The following is a 19,084-nucleotide window of genomic DNA, read 5'->3' on the forward strand; positions in this document are numbered from 1 at the left end:
ATGACACACCAGTAGCTGAGAGCATGCTGGTGCCCAGATCTTGGTTTCCAAAACCATTATTATCTAAAAGGAACCAGAGCTTCCTGAAGAAATAGCTGATTCAAAGGCTGGGGCAGAAAAAGATGGCCCATGAGATACCATACGATAAGGAAACATTCAAGGAATCAAGAGGATGGGCCCAAAGAACAGAGGACCCAGCTTGACGGGGTCCCACTAGACAAGTCTGTGATAATGGAAGCATCCAAATAAATCATGACAGCAATGAATTCTAACCCACTGAATAACAAAAGAATCCACGAATCCTTACTGAGACATAAATGGGGTAAGAAGGAAAAACTCTCAGATAAAGAATGATGAGGTTAGAAAACATTTTCAATGGGAGCTAAAACCAGTCAGTGAAGGTTTGATGGGACATTTACATAATCCAAAATTATCTAGGTACAAATTATTTATTAGTTACGAAAGGACAAAATAGTAATCTTGCAGAGGACAGAAAGAACTTATTCAAATATTTTGAGATTCTTTTTACTAAAAAAAAAGAAAAATCAAAATGGTCATCCATTAGGAATCACTTAAATGATATTAACATTATTAATCATTAAATGATAATAATTAACATCATTAATCATTAAATGATAATAATTAACATGCACCAGGCATAGTGGCTCACACCTGTAACTCCAGAGCTTTGGGAGGCTGAGGAGGGAGAATGGCTTGAGCCCAGGAGTTTGAGACCAGCCTACACAACATAGTGAGATGCCCACTTCTACTAAAAACTTATAAAGAAAAAGGCTGGGCAGTGGCTCATGCCTGTAACCCCAGCACTTTAGGTGGCTGAGGTAGGCGGATCACTTGAGGCCAGAAGCTCGAGACCAGCCCGGCAAAACCCCATCTCTAGTAAGAAAATATAAAAATTAGCGAGGTGTGATGACACATGCCTGTAATCCCAGCTACTCGGGAAGCTGCGGCACAAGAATCACTTGAGCCTGGGAGGCAGAGGTTGCAGTGAGCTGAGATCGATGCCACTGCACTCCAGTCTGGGCAACAGAGTGAGACTATCTCAAAACAATAAAAAATATAAATAATAATTAAAATTTAGCCAGATGTACTGGTGTAAGCCTGTGATCCCAGCTATTCCAGAGGCTGAGGTGGGAGGATGGACTGAGCTCAGGAGGTCAAGGCTGCAGTGAGCTGTGATCGCCACTGCACACCAGCCTGAGCAGAACAGCAAGGCTTTGTCTAAAAAAAAAAAAAAGAAGAAGAAACATATTTGTGCCCTATAAGGAAACCTCTAATAACTTTGATAGATGCAATTACTCAATTACACAAACTTCTTTCATCTTGGCTGTCTTATCTGGCCATGTGTCACCTTTAATAGGCATGTTTTATTTTAACATGGGGATTGTCTAATCTAGGAAGCCCTTCCCATGGGGAACCCACTGCCTGGTGGCTTCTGCCTGCAGTGAAATGGTGGGCTTTCAATGCCCCGTAAGATTGGAGCACACACTGCAGGGGTATCCAAGTTATGTTCAGGATTCCGGAAACCTCCTGCTGATCCAAACTAGCAATTCTAATTAACCCAATGGCAAGAAGAACTCATCAACTCACCTCTTTCTCCTCACCTCCTCCAAAATGTGTCCAGAAGACTGTAACCTAACCAGTCCAGCTTCAACTTAGGTGGGTTTCCCAGACATGCCTGAGATGACCTCTGCATGCCCGAGACCTCCCTTCCAGCAGAACCTCATACAGTATATTTCAGCAAGGACTTCTAAGTAAAATTCACTGGTGTCTTTTTGGACTAAAGAGGTTTTTTTAATCAGGGAATAAAACTGGCTCCAGGAAGTTAAAAAATTAAGGAAAGTGAGAATGGTAACTCTGTTCCACAGGCTGAACAGTTAACTGCATAACATTTAGAAATATTAACAAGGAGGGATGCCACTGTTGAGTTAAAGTATCTGCAATCAGAAGAGACCCAAAGCTTCTATTAGAGGATGACACAAATCAGTAAGGACTTAACAAGGACCCTCCTACTCTCTCTCATTGCCCAGATCTCAAAAAGCTGGGCTGAAAAGATGTGGGTACCAGCAAGAGCTAAAGGCTTTTGCCTGATGACAAAAGTCAACTTTGACAAGAGACTAAATTATCTTTGACCATCTATGTAAGGACTTTATACATGGAAATCTAAGTCAGTTGGCTCCTTAATACCAATGTGTCCCTGAGGGGGTCTAGTCAACAATTCCAGACCACTGCCAAATGAGCCATTCCTCCACCCAGTTCTGCCCCAGTAGCCCTTCTCTCCTCAGACTTAGTCTCTTCTCCCCCTTATCTCCCACAATACTTAGTACAGCAGCATCGCTTCCCTCCTAACTGTCCTACTAGGAGTACAATGCTTTCAGGGCAATGACTACTGCCATATTATTTGGAATCCCCATTATGCCTGGTATGTGATAGATACTCAATAAACAGTTATGGAAAGAATGAATGATTGTATTATTGAATAAGACAGATGGGTAGAGTACCTTGAGCAATGATCTAGGGTAAAATTCAATACAAACTCAATATAGCATAGTCGTGCTCAATGCCCAACACAGGAAGCCATCAGCTTCAGCAATACAGAGACATTCTCCACCCCAGGATCACAACCCCCAGCATCATTTCCAGCAAGCAGGAGTCTTAGACAAGGGTTAGTAGAGAGTTTTGTTATTTATTGTTGGTGGTGGTGGCATTTAGTTTTTGTTGTTTTTTCCCCCAAGGATTTGAGAAGTTCTGAATACTGGTTTCTTTTTTTTTTTTTTTTTTTTTTTTTGAGATGGAGTCTCACTCTGTTGCCCAGGCTGGATGGAGTACAGTGGAGCGATCAGAGCTCACTCAGATCCGATCAGAGCTCAGCAGTCTCAAACTTCTGAATTCAAGCAATCCTCCCACCTCTACCTCCCAAGTAGCTAGGAGTACAGGCACATGCCACTGTGCCTGGCTAATATTTTTATTTTTGATAGAGACCAGGTCTCTCTATGTTGCCCAGGCTGGTATCGAACTCCTGGGCTCAAGTGATCCTCCCACTTTGGCCTCCCAAAATTCTGGGATTACAGGCATGAGCCACCAAGCTTGGCCAATAGTGGTTTCTTAATGTGGTATAAGAGGGAAAACACAGGTCCCAGCTCCCTGTCTCTGTGACCCTGACCTGAGTCTTCAGTTTCTATGAGCTTCATGTTCCCCATAGCCACAAGTAAAGGAGGAAATAAAAGCTAACTTATCTTTGGTAAATCCCCTCACTTTCTCTTTCCCTCTCTCCTTTTGTCCCCTTTCAGCTCTCTTTTAGCCCTCTCTGCCTCCTTAAAGGCCCTTTCTATTTCTCTTCTCCTCCTCTTTCCTGACCTTTCTGTAACAACTGGCCATGATGGAACTAAAATAATTATTTCATTACTTGATACTCATTGAATCAAGATTGTTCTCTCTTTAATGGACAAGTTCAAAATTTTATATTCTTCAGAAGCCAAGCCTAATAAAACCTTTTTCAATGGATTATGCATTTGCATAACCCTAAAATTATAGTCTATCAAAGAAGAAAAGTTTCCCCCAACTTTATTAGAAATAAACAATACTAAAAGAAGAGACTAGGGAGGGAAGGTCCTCTCTGCTGTATACCTCCTGAACTTAGGCCTGGAATCACGGGATCCAGGAGGTAAGCGAGAAGGCAGGTTTGTGCTCAGACCTGCAGACAGCAAAGCTGTGAGCTAAGCTGAGAGTTTAGAGAACAAGGAAGGCTAAGGGCAGGTTGAATGAAATCCCCTGTGGCAGGCTACTGAAGGAGTTCACTTGTGTCTCTCGATGCTATACAGTCATCCCCCCATATCCACAGTTTCGCTTTCCACAGGTTGAGTTACCCACAGTTGACTGAAAAGATTAAATGGGAAATTCCAGAAATAATTCCTATGGCTTAAATTGCATACTATTCTGAGTAGCATGATGAAATCTCCCACAAACCCACCCAGGATGGGAATCCTCCCTCTGTCCAGCATTTCCATGCTACAGACGTCACCCACCTTTAGTCATTTAGTAGCCACCCTGGGCGCTCAGATCTATTGTCATGGCATCACAATACTGGTGTTCAAGTCACCCTTATTTTACTTAATAATGGCCCCCAAAGAGCAAGTACAAGGATGCTAGCCATTTGGATATGCCAAGGAGAAGCCACAAAGGCCTTCCTTTATGTGAAAAGGTTAAGGTTCTCAAGCCAATAAGAAAAGGAAAAAAAAATTGTATGCTGAGGTTGCTGAGATCTGGTTTAAGAGTGAACCTTCTATCAACGAAATGGTGAAGAGTATATTGTTGTAATTATTCTATTTTATTATCATTGTTAATCTCTTACTGTGCTCAATTTATAATATTAAACTTTACCATAGATATGTGTAAGTAGGGCCAGGTGTGGTGGCTCACACCTGTAATCCTAGCACTTTGGGAGGCCGAGGCAGGTGGATTGCCTGAGGTCAGCAGTTCAAAACCAGACTGGCCAGCATGGTGAAAACCCATCTCTACTAAAATACAAAAATTACCCAGGCGTGGTGGCAGGCACCTGTGATCCCAGCTATTTGGGAGGCTGAGGCAGGAGAATTGCTTGAAACTGGGAGGCAGAAGTTGCAGTGAGCTGAGATCGCACCTTTGCACTCCAGCCTAGGTGACAGAGCGAGACTGTCTCAAAAACAAAACAAACAAACCAACAAAGATATGTGTAAGTAGGAAAAAAAATCAGTAGGGTTCAGCACTATCCACGGCTTTAGGCAGCCACTGAGGTGAGGGTCTTCAATGAGGGTAGTTCCCCTGCCTCCTCGGACTGGGGGGACTACTGTACATCTATAAAGAGAGTGAAATAGATACACAGGACTTTAACTAGATGACCTTTATGTTTCCTTCCATGAACTTTCTCTATTTGGAAGCCACAAAATAGTAAAGGACTAGAATTCTGGTGCCAGGAATTCAACACTTATTTTAAACAGTATCTGCTGTCTGGTGACCACCCTAGACTCTGAACTTCTAATCTTGGTATCTTTAAATCTGAATGCCTTTTATTCCTCATTCAGTTTCCACTGTTCTTCCTCACCTTCCTGTGTTTCTAAGGAAAACACCTGAGAATGCCTCTCCCCTCCCCACGCCTCCACGATAGAAAGGTTAGTGCACGGCCAACCATGACTGCCCCGGGCTTTCTCCAAAACAGCTCCATTGAAGAAATGATGCTGAGTTTCCATTTTGCACACTGACCCTCCCATGGGGCTCACCCTCTGCCTTTACCTACGCTTAAATTTTCTCTGTAGCATCTGTCGCCATTTGAAAGGCTATTGCATTTCACTTTTTTTAAAAATCATGTTTTCCCCCCAGAGCATCTGGGTTTTTCTGTGTTGTTTGCTGCTAAGCCAACAACATGCTGGGCACATAGAAGGCACCTAGATTTGTCACATGAATGAGCACATCCTCCAAAAATCCCCAAATTTGGCCTGGCATGATGGCTCATGCCTGTAATCCCAGCACTTTGGGAGGCCGAGACAGGTGGATTACTTGAGGTCAGGAGTTCGAGACCAGCCTGGCCAGCATGATGAAACCCCGCCTCTACTAAAAATACAAAAATTAGCCGGGCGTGGTGGAGGACACCCGTAATCCCAGCTACTCGGGAGGCTGAGGTAGGAGAATCGCTTAAACCCAGGAGGCAGAGGTTGCAGTGAGCCGAGACTGCACACTGCACTCCAGCCTGGGCGACAGAGCGAGACCCCATCAAAAAAAAAACAACACAGAAACAAAAACAAATTTAATATAAACTCCAAAATCCATCTTCAGAGACAAGTCTCCATATAAACATAATACATGGAAGGTTAAGTGTTCCTTCAAATGTGGGCAATACTCTCATGCAAATTTTTGTATAAAGTGGATTTTTCTCTTTTTTTTGAGACAGGGTCTCACTCTCTTACCCAGGCTGGAGTGCAGTGGCGCAATCATACCTCACTACAGCCTCAACCTCCCAGGCCCAAGCGGTCCTCTCACCTCAACCTCCCAAGTAGCTGGGATAACAAGGCACGTGCTACCATGCCCGGCTATTTTTTTAAGTATATTTTTGTAAAGATAGAGTCTCATTATATTGCCCAGGCTGGTCTCAAACTCCTGGCCTCAAGTAATCCCCCCACCTTGGCCTCCCAAAGTGTTGGGATTATAGGCATGAGCCACTGCGCCTGGCCTAAAGGGGGTTTTATAAACAGAACTGGTAACACTTTACTTTCTACCTGACACTACACACAGAATTTCTCAGAGTATTATATGTTTTTTCTAAATCTAGTCTTAATAAGCTTTCAACCTCTTTATATATATAAAATAGTTTTCTGAAATGATGGTCATAATTTTGCTTAAAAAAAAACACAAAAAACATTGCTAGTGCCTAAGGGCACATACAATACCCCTGACTCATAACCAACTGCTGATTCAACACCTCCTCCTCTTGGGTGTCTGATAAGCATATCAAACTAAATAATGTCCAAACAGAACACCTTTTCATCCCACAAAAAAATCCTGCTCCTCCCAGGCTTCTCCCTCTCAGTTATCAGCCGTCACATCTTTCCCCTTGCCCAGATTTTCCAAAGAAAAGAAAACCTTCAGGTGACTCTGCAGCCCATCCCTTCTTTGTCACTCTTTGATAGGACACATCTAAGCCATCCAAGTCCTATTACTTCAACATGCAAAGTATATCCAGAAACAGTCACATTGACCCTATAAGGCTCACCCTCTGCCCCTGCCCAAGCTTAAATTTTCTACTCAGCACCTGTCAACATTAGAAGGGCTATTATATTTCACTTTTTTGAAATCATGTTTTCCCCTGGAGGCATCTAGGCTCCACAAGGATGGGGTTTTTCTGTGTTGTTTGCTGCTAAGCCACCCACACCTACAACATGCTGGGCACATAGAAGTCACCCAGATTTGTCACGTGAATGAACACATCCTGTAAAAATTACCTATTTTAACATATTTAAACTCCAAAATCCATTACGAGTCCATGATATCAACTTCTCAGTTACAAATATAAATATTAAATAATTTACAGATATAAGTAAGTCTGCAATAGCAAAAGTTTCCTAAAGGCCTGGATTCTGCAAATGGGTTTCAGAAAGAGGGTGCAAGGACACACACCAGTGCAAATGTGCATTTTCTCGTAGGTAAGTGACTGAGTGCTGGGGAGGAAGGAATGGTGTAGCCCACCGCCAGCACACTTCTCGTGTAACACTCCAGCAATTCTGCTCAGACCCCAAAACCTGAATGCCTAAAAGAAAACAAAATCCTTCCAAAGTTCACCAGGGCCTCTGTCCTTACAAAGTTTCCCATGGCCTGGCTCCAAGGGGAGCCCGACACACCTGATTTCTTCAATCTCCTCCCATTCTCTGTAGTCCAAAATAGCCATTCTCCATGCCCTAAAGTTCAACGATCACCAGACACTAAAGTTCAACGATCACCAGACACAGGCATCGCTGGAATGGATCTCGCGTGAGGGTAGAGCACCCACACCACAGGTGTTCTCAACATGGTCCCAACCCAGCTTATCTCGGCCCATGACCAAGTAAATTAAACTCAGGTGGCACCTGTAAAGCTGTGATCTTCTGTTATTTTTCCTCTAACGTTCCTCCCTTCCTAAAACACGCTCAAAGCCCATTTTCTCATCCCTTCCCGCTTCACTCTACTACCTGTTGTTTCTATGTCAACCTAAGCAACAGGCAATGTGGACCCTGTCCACCTCTCTTCCGGGTCCCCCAACCCCCCTCCACACCTGCACTCTGGGTTCAACATGGGTCCTTCCATGCCATAGGCACCTCAGAGATTTCCTACTACGGAGCTTCAAAGCCTTCTCTGGTTCATCCACAGCCTTCTTGTCTCCCTGTTCTCCCACCAGCTAATCCATGCCTTTCACTTCTTCACAGGGCCCTCACTTTATAATCCCATCTTCCCAGCACTTTCCCACACGACAACCAGTACCAAGCATCTACAGCCATTGTGCATGATTAGCCATCTTAGTCTTCTTCCTTAAAAAAAGATGCACTTGGCATATTTGTACACAATTTAGTAACAGAATAAAATGAAGAAATGTGAGTAAGATTTTTTTTTAAGAGACAGGTTCTCACTTTGTCACTCAGGCTGGGGTGCAGCGGCATAATCATAGCTCATTGAAACTCCTGGGCTCAAGCAACCCTCTCGCATAGCTGAGACTGGAGGTGCATGCCATCATGCCCGGCTAAGTGAGTAGGATATTAATTATTTCTGCAGCCCAAGTTATGCGGCTGACTCATAAGGAGATGAAAGCATTGTTCATTGCAACTAGCAAGTGAAGGATCTGACGACTAGCCAGAGATGCCATACTATATAGTCAGCAAGGCCCGTGTGGCCACCTGCTAGATGCAGGGCTCATTGTTGCCAAGATCCTTCTGAGCCCATCAGTGTATGATGTTGACTATCCTCTGAAAATCAGGCCATTGGCCGGGGACTGTGGCTCACGCCTGTAATCCCAACACCTTGGGAGTCTGAGGCAGGAAGATTGCTTGAGCCCAGTAGTTTGACACCAGCCTGGACAACATGGCAAAACCCTGTCTCGACAAAAACATACAAAAAACTGGCCAGGTGTGGTGGCAGGCACCTGTAGTCCCAGCTACTCAGGAGACTGAGGTGGGAGAATCACCTGAGCCTGGGAAGTCAAGGCTGCAGTGAGACGTGATCGTCTCATTGCCCTCCAGCCTGGGTGACAGAGTGAGACCCTGTCTCAAAAAAAAAGAAAAAAGAAAAATCAAAAAAAAAATCTGGACATTAATTAGTGCCTGTTCAAATCAAGCGCTTTCTTCCAAACGATTAAACTTCATCTCTCATAAGAGATGACATAGTTCTCTCTTGCTTCCAAGCTCAAATAAGCACTTGCCAGACTAAGGAATAAGACTCCTTAACAAAGCGAGCATCTGAAGCTACTCATTTAAGTTTGCGCACCAAGAAGCACAGAGAATAATATACAATTGATCCTTGAACAATGCAGGGATTGGGGTGCCAACCCCCTGTGCAACCAAAAAACCACATATTAATTTTTGACTCCCCAAAACCTTAACTAGTAATAGCCTACTGTTGGCTGGAAGCCTTACCAGTAACATAAAGTTGATGAACACATATTTTGTATGCTCTATGTATTATATACTACATTCTCACAATAAAGTAAGCTAGAGAAAGGAAACCGCCATTAAGACAATCATTGTGGAAAATCATTGAGGAGAAGATACACATGGAAGTGGATCATCAAAGGTTTTCATCCTCATCATCTTCACATTGAATAGGCTGAAGAGGAAGAGGAAGATGAGGGATTGGCCTTGCTGTCTCAGAGGTGGAAGAGGCTGAAGAAAATCTGCACGTAGGCCGGGCGCAGCACACGCCTGTAATCCCAGCACTTTGGGAGGCCGAGGCGGGTGGATCACTTGGGGTCAGGAGTTCAAGACCAGCCTGGCCAACAATGGTGAAACCCTGTCTCTATAAAAATACAGAAAAATTAGCCGGACATGGCGGTGCACATCCCAGCTACTCAGGAGGCTGAGACAGGACAATCGCTTGAACCCAGGAGGCAGAGGTTGCAGTGAGCCAAGATCATGCCATTGCACTCCTGCCTGGGCAACAGAGTGAGACTTCATCTCAAAAAAAAAAAGAAAGAAAAAGAAAAAAAAAGAAAATCTGCACATAAGTGGACTCTTGCAGTTCAAACCCTTGTTGTTCAAGGGTCAACTGTGCTTCACTGGGGTCAAAGAATTGCTCTGGAAGCTGAATTACATGCATGTGAACATGTAATTCACACTTCTCAAGGCTAAACAACTGATAGAATTTAGTCAGTTATCTTGATGCTTTCCCAGATTGCTCAAAGTTTATCTGTCCCTGGGAAATAAATATGAGTGTCTTTAATTTAAGACATGTGTCACGTAACTCAGCGCACAGCCATGCCCCACACATAAGCCTCACTTATGTGAGCCCACACATGCCTGCAGGAGCGCCAACATGCCTTTCCAGGTGCATTTGTCCCAACAAGAACCAGATCCCATTTGTCCCAACAAGAACCCTTTCTCTCTACACCTTTGCCTCCATCACTGTGGCCCAAGGCACCATGAATTTTCAGGACCCCAACAGCCTGCTAGCTGGCCTACCCACCTTCACCCTTGGTTTCCCTGTGATCTTTCAATAGAAAAGCCAGAGTGGATTCTTAAAAATATCATGCCATGCTGCTCTCCTGCAGTAGAAAAACAATGAAACTCATGGTGGGGTGCTGTGCTTGACTGGGTCCCCTTCGTTCAGTGTTCCAGCCACCCTGGCCTGATGTGTTTCTGACAGTCTCCCACATTCCCGTTTGTCCCCTTGCGTGCGAGCAAATGCTTTTCCCCATCTTCTCCCATGATTAGATCTTCTCTCCTGCAGGTCTCAATCCCCAGAAAGTCCTACCCTTGTGTACAAAAAACCAAACATACCCTCATTGTCGATCATTTATATCCTCATTCTCACTTTCTTTACCCATTTACTACAATCTATTTGTGTAGATACAAAAAAATGCACTTAATTACTTTGTCACTTTCCCCTCTAGAACAAAAGCTCTCTGAGGGCAGGATTTTTTTATGGTGTTCACTGGGCCAGGGACCAGGCGAGCCACTCAAAACTGCGGGGTGAACGAGTGAGTGACTCTCCACCCAGGCTGAAGAGCAGCAGCAGAGAACACCCACATCTGGGGCCCAGCAACCCTCTTTAAGCGCCTGCAGGAGAAGGGGAATGTGCAGGTCACTTGAGGTCAGTAAATGATTGAACAGATGCTCTAGCCTCACTCAATAAATCATTTATTATTGAAAGAATAGTGCATTGTAAAGTACTTTCAGGTGTGGCAAATTATTAATCATTGGTTAGTTTTCCTTGAAGAGTCTGCCAGCCCTGCCTGCGGGAGGCTGCTGGGCCCGGCCTGGGGGCTACATTGGGGCAGGGTGGAGAAGGAGGTAGGCTGCTCAGAGTCAGGGACTCTGGAGAGCAGGAGCTGGGTGCAGGGAGACACAATGACAGATCTCACAGGAAAACCCACTCTACCTCATTAGAAATGCCTTCCCCCGGCTGGGCATGGTGGCTCACGCCTGTAATCCCGGCACTTTAGGAGGCTGAGGCAGGTGGATCACCTGAGGTCAGGAGTTTGAGACCAGCCTGACGAACATGGAGAAATCCTATCTCTACTAAAAATTTAGCCAGGCGTGGTGGCACATGCCTGTAATCCCAGCTACTCAGGAGGCTGAAGCAGGAGAATCGCTTGAACCAGGGAAGTGGAGGTTGCGGTGAGCTGAGATCACGCCATTGTACTCCAGCCTGGGCAACAAGAGTGAAACTCCGTCTCAAAAAAAAAAAAAAGGAAGAAAAAAAGAAACGCCTTCCCCTAAGGCAAGGTTTCTCAGCCTCAGCACTACTGGCATTTGGAGCTGAAAAACTCTTTGTTGGGGGTGTCGTCCCGTGCACTGTAGGATGGTTAACAGCATCCCTGAACCCCACCCTCAAGAAGCCAACAGCATCCCCATCCCAAGTCCTGACAACTAAAATTATCTGAGGCATTGCCAGGGTGGCAAAATCACATGGATCAGAACCACCGCACTAAAGTTTTTTACAGCCTTTCTGGACAGGCTATAGAATCTTAAATCAAATGTTGACCTCAGACAGAAGTTGCAAGACAATGACAGCAGTCTTTTAGCCACGTTAGCAAATGATATAAACCCATTAGTAAATCCACCGGTTCAATTCCACTCCAAGAGTTCAAGGCATCTATGTTAACAAAGAATTACAGTAAGATGGGACATGTTACATCTGTGTAGTGTGGGGAAAAAAAAAAAAAAAAGATGGGACACATGTGGACACAGGCTATGCACAGACTCTACTTCTGGGCTTTCTAAGGGATCAACATCCCAGCTCACGAGACTCATCTTCTGTACAGCAGAGTTTCTCAAAGTGTGATCTCTGGACCAGCAGCACCAGAATCCCCTGAAGAGTTAGAAATGCAAATTCTCAGGACCCACTCCAGGTCTATGAATCAGGAACTCTGAGAGTGGGGCCCTGCAATCTGTATCTTCTGATGTTCTCCAGGTGATGCGGATGCAGGTTCAGGTTTGAGAACGTGCCATACAGCTTGCTTTGACACACCAAATGGGAAGCACTTGTCTGACATATACGCCAATACTCCCAACCCAACCCTGGCTCATTAGCAAAATCCCTACCTCAGCCTGGGGAGTTTTACTGGGGAGTTTCTTGTTTTGTTTTTCGGTAAACTTCAATATGTTACCCAATTATGCCTGGGGAATTTTAAAACAAAAACCCACAGACACCTAGAACCGCAACCTAAATGACTGAATCAGAACAAGCCAAGATGAAACCCAAGTGGCGGTCCTTAAAAAGCTCCCCTCACCCAGCACATCCTGGTTATCAGCCAGGTCTGGGAACCATCTGTACGGTAGAGAGAAGAAAGAGGGTATAGTCAGGTACCTGGGAAGTTGGAGAGGGTTTGGAGAAAGGGACACAGTTTGAGCAAACTTTAGGAAAAGAATTTGGAGTTTACCAAGAAGACAAAGGAGGAAGAAGGGACAAATTTTCCAGAAAAATGGAGCCACACAGCCAAGACTTATTGCTTGGAGACAGCAGAGAAAATGCTGCATGGGGTCTGGGGTGATAATGGGGTAATCAAAGGTCTTGTGTTCTAAACTCAGAAAGTTGGACTTTATCCTAAAGATAACAGGGAAATTGTGAATGTTTTTAAGCTACTTTGTATATGATGAACTGTGGAAGGCAAGGAAATCAGTCAGGAATTGGATTTGAAAGAAACTTCACCAATACAGTGACTTGCATCCTTTTATTCAAGCAAACTAGATCCCTTCACCCTCCCAATATCCCCAGTCTGCACAATTCTCACCTCCCCTGCTTGGTCGTAACTCTGTGACTCTACCACAAAAATAAGCAGATGCACAAGAAGTCAGTTTAAAATTCCACATCCTATTTCTCATTTACTCTAGGATCTCAAAACAAGAAAAACATCGCAACCCAAGTCATCTTTTCAAAAACAATTTTGTAAATGTCCTATTTCATAGAAAAGGAAGAAGCAACTCTAAATCAAATTTTTTACTCTGAAATTACCTAGAATTCCCAGGCCCAGTGGCTCACGCCTGTAATCCCAGCACTTTGGGAGGCCGAGGTGGGCAAATCACCTGAGGTCAAGAGTTCAAGACCAGCCTTGACCAAAATAGCGAAACCCCGTCTCTACTAAAAATACAAAAATTAGCTGGGCGTGGTGGTGCGTGCCTGTAATCCCAGCTACTCAGGAAGCTAAGGCGGAAGAATCACTTGAACCCAAGAGGCAGATGTTGCAGTGAGCCAAAATCACACCACTGCAACTCCACCCTGGGCGACAGAGCAAGACTCCCTATCAAAAAAAAGAAATTACCTAGAACTAGCATAGCAGTAACATAAAAAGCTGTATCTATGAGCAGCTCTTCTTATCCACAAAACATATCTTAAATTCATTGTCATTAAAACAAGATATTAGAAAGGAATGGCTTATCCATTTACTAGTATTAATGGTGACATGGCTATTGAAGAAGAAAAAAACACAAAAAAAAGTAATAAACCTTATATACAGAGTTTTACACAATTAGAACTCCAATCCTACATTGACTGAAGACAGTAAGCTAGCACATTAGAGGTGCAAGATGTACAATACCAATAAACAGTCAAAAATCTACTGCATTACTATATTCTAATGATACTGAAAACGTTAATAAGAAATTAACTTCAAGCCAGGCATGGTGGCTCATGCCTATAATACCAGCGCTTTGGGAGGCTGAGGCAGGGGGATCTCTTGAGCCCAAATGTTCGAGACCAGCCTGGGCAACATAGTGAGACCTTCTCTCCACACAAAAAAAAAAAAATTTAATTGGCTGGGCACAGTGGCACACACCTGTAGTCCTAGCCACTCTGGAGGCTGAGGTAGGAGGAATGCTTGAGCCCAGGGGCTTGAGGTTACAGTGAACAATGATCAAAAGTATCCACTAGGTTGGGAGGCCAGCCTAGGGCAACATGCCTGGGGGGCAGCTCTCAGCAAGTTCACAAGCAGCAGCCTGGGAGCACAGCCCTGGGGCCCCGCACACCAGGTCCCAGGAACACTCTCTGCAAGGAGATGGCCCACGTGGCTGGGGCCCTGGTGACAAACAAGAGGACTGAGCAAAGAAGTCAACGTGTTGAGGACAGCAGGAGTCAAGTTTCTCACTACTGAAGGATGAAGATACAAATATGGAAAGAGGGAGAACCAGAACAAAGCATGAGATTTTTGAACTGTGATTTGAAGCACTGGTGTGAAGTCTATCTAATTTGTTTCCTAATACAGATCTATATAAATAGATACCTAAATAAAGATAGAGAAATCAATATACACTGATCCTCTTTAGTGACAAATCCTGTATTTGTGAGTTTGCCTACTTGCTAAATTGTAACCCCAAAAATCAGTCCTCCAGGTGTCTTGCAGTCCTTCACGGACATGCACAGAGTAGCAAAATATTTGAGTCACCCAACATGCATGCTCCCAGCTGAAGTCAAACGAAATGACACTTAGACTTTTTTTTTTTTTTTTCCCAAGACGGAGTCTCACTCTGTTGCCCAGGCTGGAGTGCTGTGGTGCGATCTCGGCTCACCACAACCTCCGCTTCCTGGGTTCAAGCGATTCTCCTGCTTCAGCCTCCTGAGTAGCTGGGATTACAGGCACACGCCACCATGCCCGGCTAATTTTTTTGTATTTTTAGTAGAGACGAGGTTTCACCATGTTGGCCAGGCTGGTCTCGAACTGCTGACCTCAAGCAATCCAGCCACCTTGGCCTCCCAAAGTGCTGGATTTACAGGTGTGAGCTACCACGCCCAGCTGACACTCTGCCTTCTTATTCCCGCTCTTAGAGTAGAAACAACTGTCCTTCTTGTGGGCTGTTCAGTACCATGTTCTTCACATTTTGGGGACTTTTGTGGGTGACTTCGCTGTCTAAAGTGGCCCCAAGCATCATGCTCAAGTGCAGTCTAGTGCATCAAAGCGCAAGGCGGGTGTAATGTGCCCTACAGAAAAAAACGTGTGTTACAGAAGCTTCCTTCAGGCATGAACTATAGTGCTGCTGGCTGTTAATTCAAGGTTAATGATTAATTATATATTAAAAAAGGTGTCTCTAAGCAGACACATGCATAAAACAAGGTTATATATTAAATGGCTGACAAAAATGTGACCAAAGGCGCATAGGAACCTAACCCTGTATTTCGCCTGGAAGCAATGGTTCAGTATTCACTAGTCCTGTGTTTGTGGAGACTTTATAGAGCTCCACTAGTAACAAGAACCAACTGTATATGTATATGTGTGTGTATATATATACACATACACACAAATATATAAATAATATGTGTTGATCTGTGTATGCAAATACATTCTAGCTTTGTCCGCTTAGAGTTCCTAGAAGCAATGAGATCCCATAACAATAAATATGCCTAGGCCGGGCACAGTGGCTCACGCCTGTAATCCCAACACTTTGGGAGGCCAAGGTGGGTGAATCACCTGAGGTCAGGAGTTCAAGACCAGCCTGGCCAACATGGTGAAACCCCGTCTCTACTAAAAATACAAAAATTAGCCCAGCATGGTGGCATGCACCTGTAATCCTAGCTACTTGTGAGACTGAGGCAGGAGAATCACTTGAACCCAGGAAGCAGAGGTTACAGTGAGCCGAGATCGTGCCACTGTACTTCAGCCTGGGTAACAGAGACTCTGTCTCAAAAAAGAAAAAAAAAAAATGCATAGTACCCAGCACTCTTTCTAAATATAGTATCCACTTATGAAAAAGAATATGTAACTTTTCTTTTTAATGCAGAGGCTCTTTTGAGAAATGGCTGAATCCAAGATCGGGGCAGAAGAAGTACAAGACATGTCTGAACTATCTTTTTGTGCCACAAAAGTAATGAAATGTTCAAAGAATCCCGACAACATGTCCAAAGGACCCAGGAGCTCCCACTGGCCAAACCTGGGACAATCTGAGCACCAAAATAAATCATAAGTGTAATGGATTCAAATCTAATAAATAAAATTATTCATAAGTCCATAGTGCTATAAATAAATGAGTGAATAAATGGGGAAAACAGAATATTTCTTACTGTAGAATGCCAACCAATTAAGAACAGAATTAACAATAGAATCAGAAAAAAAAAAATCATCATTTGGCAACTTCCACAGTAATAAGTGATTCAGTTATTGAAAAGCCATCCACGGTTGCTAAAATCAGTGGGTAAAAGTTTCATGAGAAGCAAGATATTTTCATAGCCTCCAATTATCTCCCCATAAAACACTTACCTAAAAGCATAAAGTATTGCATAATCAACTTTAGAACAGGGAAACGTGGCAGACAAGACCTTAACAGAGTGATAACAGTTACCATCACCACTGTGTGCCTCCGGATACAATGCACTGAGGATACTGTATTTATTTTTATGGTATTTCTGCTATGAAGTCACATCACATTTTTTTGTGTCTTTGAAGAATATTCTAGAATGTGATGACCTGAATATTTTTCAAACTATCAAGGACATGAGAGACAATAAAAGACTGCAGAAGTGTTCGAGGCTGAAGGATACTAAAGAAATATGAGCGCTAAATACATTATAGGATCCTGGGCCCAAAAAATTAATATAGGGAAACTGGTTATGGAGTTTGAAGATAAATTTCTGAATTTTGTTGGGTGTTCTATAACTATGATGGAAAGTGCCTTTTTATTTAAGAAACATGCACTAAAATTTAGGTATAAGGGGCCTCAGATCTACAATCCACTTTTTTTTTTTTTTTTTTTTTTGAGACAGAGTTTTGCTCTTTCTCTCAAACTGGAGTGAAGTGGTGTGATCTCAGCTCACTGCAACTTCCGCTTCCTGGGTTCAAGCGATTCTCCTGCCTCAGCCTCCTGAGTAGCTGGGACTACAGGTGTGCACCACCACACCTGACTAATTTTTGTATTTTTAGCAGAGATGGGGTTTTGCCATGTTGGCCAGGCTGGTCTCGAACTCCTGACCTCAGGTGATCCACTCACCTCAGCCTCCCAAAGTGCTAAGATTACAGGTGGGAACAACCACATCCAGACTACAATCCACTTTCAAGTAGTTCAGATAACAAAGGAATAATATAAACAGAGAAAGAGACATTGACAACTATGGTAGAAGCTAACAGGAGGGAATCTGGATGAAGGATATACAGGAGTGGTATGTATGCACCACTCTTGCAACTTTTCTGTCAGGTTGAATTATTTCAAAATAAAAAGTTAAAAGACACTACCAGATGTTAAAGTATTTCAAAGACAATGATTAAAACTCTAGAGTACTGGTTTAAAAGCATGACACAATAAGAAAAAAAAAAAGATTAAAAGTATAAAAATAAAAGGTTAACAAGGTAAAACATGAAATTAGCCAGGTACAGTGGCTCATGCCTGTAATCCCAACACTTTGGGAGGCTGAGGCTCGAGGACTGCTTGAGTCCAGGAATTTGGGCAAGTAGGAAATTACTGAACAGCTGCTATCACAGACAAATGCCTAACATTGTGAAGTGCTACACAGGGGAAGGAGACCCACGCTAAGAGGAGAGCATGCACCCAGACACAGAACTCAGAGGACACAGTTCAAAACACACATACAAGAGGCTTAGGCACCTGTGGGCGTGTGTGTGCTCACAGCCAGCAAAATGAAAAAAAATCCCAGCTCTGAAGGAGAGGCAAGTGCATGGCTTCCGTACAGATTGAAAATATGTCTTAGCATGAAAATTAAATATGCTTACCCAAGGCAGACTTAGATAACTGTGAAGGGGGAAAGACTAAAATGGGGGGAAATAAGGGGCCAAGATTACACAAAAGGTCGGGCTGTATCTGTCCCCCCCAGTCGCCAGCACTAACAGCACTTAGTGTGTGCCAGGCACTGGTTCAAGCATTTTAACGCAATCCTCACAATCCTGTGAAGTAGGCTCCTGAAGGGGGTTTAATGGTGGCCCCAAAAAGATATGCCCAAGTCCTGACCCCCAGTACCTGTGAGTATTACCTTTCCTGGTAAAGAATTGAATGTTATTTGGGAAAAGGGTATTTGCACATGGAATTAAACTGAGGATGTTGGAGTGAAGACATCATCCTGGATTATCCAAGTGGGTCCTAAATCCAATGGCAAGTGTCCTTCCAAGAAAGAGGCGGGGGAGACCTGGGACAGACAGAAGAGAAGAGAAGGAGATGTAAACACAGGTAGAGACTCAAGTGATGCAGCCACAAGCCAAGGACACTAAGGACGGCCGGCAGCCACCAGAAGCTGGAAGAGGCAAGGAATATTGTCCCCACCATACCAAGGGAACACAGCCTGGATTTTTTACCTTCTGGCCTCCTGAACTTAAGAGAATAAATGTCTATTGTCTTAAACCACCAAGTATGTAGGAATTTGTTATGGCAGCCTCAGCAAACTCATACAGTGCTGTTATCACCATTCCCTAAGGATGGGAAAACTCAGGCATATGGCAGACATGTAGCTGTCCTGGGGCACGCAGTTTGCATGTGACAGGGCTGAGACTAGTCCAGACAGCAGAGTTCAGAGCCCTCGCACCAACAAGCGACAGGCTCTCGGGAGCCAGCCAGGCCATCTTCCCCCATTAGTAAATGGGGCATTATCCCTTTGGTGAGGTGCCTGGGTAGCATTGGCCCCTGGGCTCTCTCCTGTTTCTGTGCACTGCATTACCAGCTGATATGGTTTGGTTGTGTCCCTACTCAAATCTCTTTTTTTTTTTTTTGAGATGGAGTTTCGCTCTGTCTCCACTCAAATCTCATCTTTTTTTTTTTTTTTTGAGACGGAGTTTCGCCCAGGCTGGAATGCAATGGTGCCATCTCAGCTCACTGCAACCTCCACCTCCCAGGTTCAAGTGATTCTCCTGCCTCAGCCTCCCAAGTAGCTGGGATTACAGGCAGGTACCTGCCACCATGCCCAGCTAATTTGTTTTGTATTTTTAGTA

The 19,084-nt window shown here is 44.0% G+C and overlaps 1 protein-coding gene across 6 annotated transcripts in view, besides 3 other annotated features; it reads right to left on the minus strand.

The window, feature by feature from the left end:
• Positions 1-19,084, minus strand: part of ABCC4 (ATP binding cassette subfamily C member 4 (PEL blood group)) — a 281,617-nt gene that overhangs the window by 228,142 nt on the left and 34,391 nt on the right. The window contains exon 1 of one of the 6 annotated variants that reach the window (XM_047430034.1): positions 18,136-18,242. The exons of the other annotated variants lie outside the window; for them this stretch is intronic. The gene's annotated coding sequence lies outside the window, so the exon portion shown is untranslated. Of the gene's footprint in view, positions 1-18,135; positions 18,243-19,084 lie in introns of those variants that run through there. 6 annotated transcript variants of the gene reach the window in all.
• Positions 14,140-14,199: an enhancer, noted in NCBI's record as "active region_7870". NCBI's record gives its function as "activates an Ori minimal core promoter by ATAC-STARR-seq in GM12878 lymphoblastoid cells {active_cell/tissue: GM12878}" and the evidence as "EXISTENCE:reporter gene assay evidence [ECO:0000049][PMID:35858748]".
• Positions 14,320-14,369: an enhancer, noted in NCBI's record as "active region_7871". NCBI's record gives its function as "activates an Ori minimal core promoter by ATAC-STARR-seq in GM12878 lymphoblastoid cells {active_cell/tissue: GM12878}" and the evidence as "EXISTENCE:reporter gene assay evidence [ECO:0000049][PMID:35858748]".
• Positions 14,960-15,079: an enhancer, noted in NCBI's record as "active region_7872". NCBI's record gives its function as "activates an Ori minimal core promoter by ATAC-STARR-seq in GM12878 lymphoblastoid cells {active_cell/tissue: GM12878}" and the evidence as "EXISTENCE:reporter gene assay evidence [ECO:0000049][PMID:35858748]".

This window comes from Homo sapiens, chromosome 13 (genome assembly GCF_000001405.40).
Source record: "Homo sapiens chromosome 13, GRCh38.p14 Primary Assembly".
NCBI classification, from domain to species: Eukaryota; Metazoa; Chordata; class Mammalia; order Primates; family Hominidae; genus Homo; species Homo sapiens.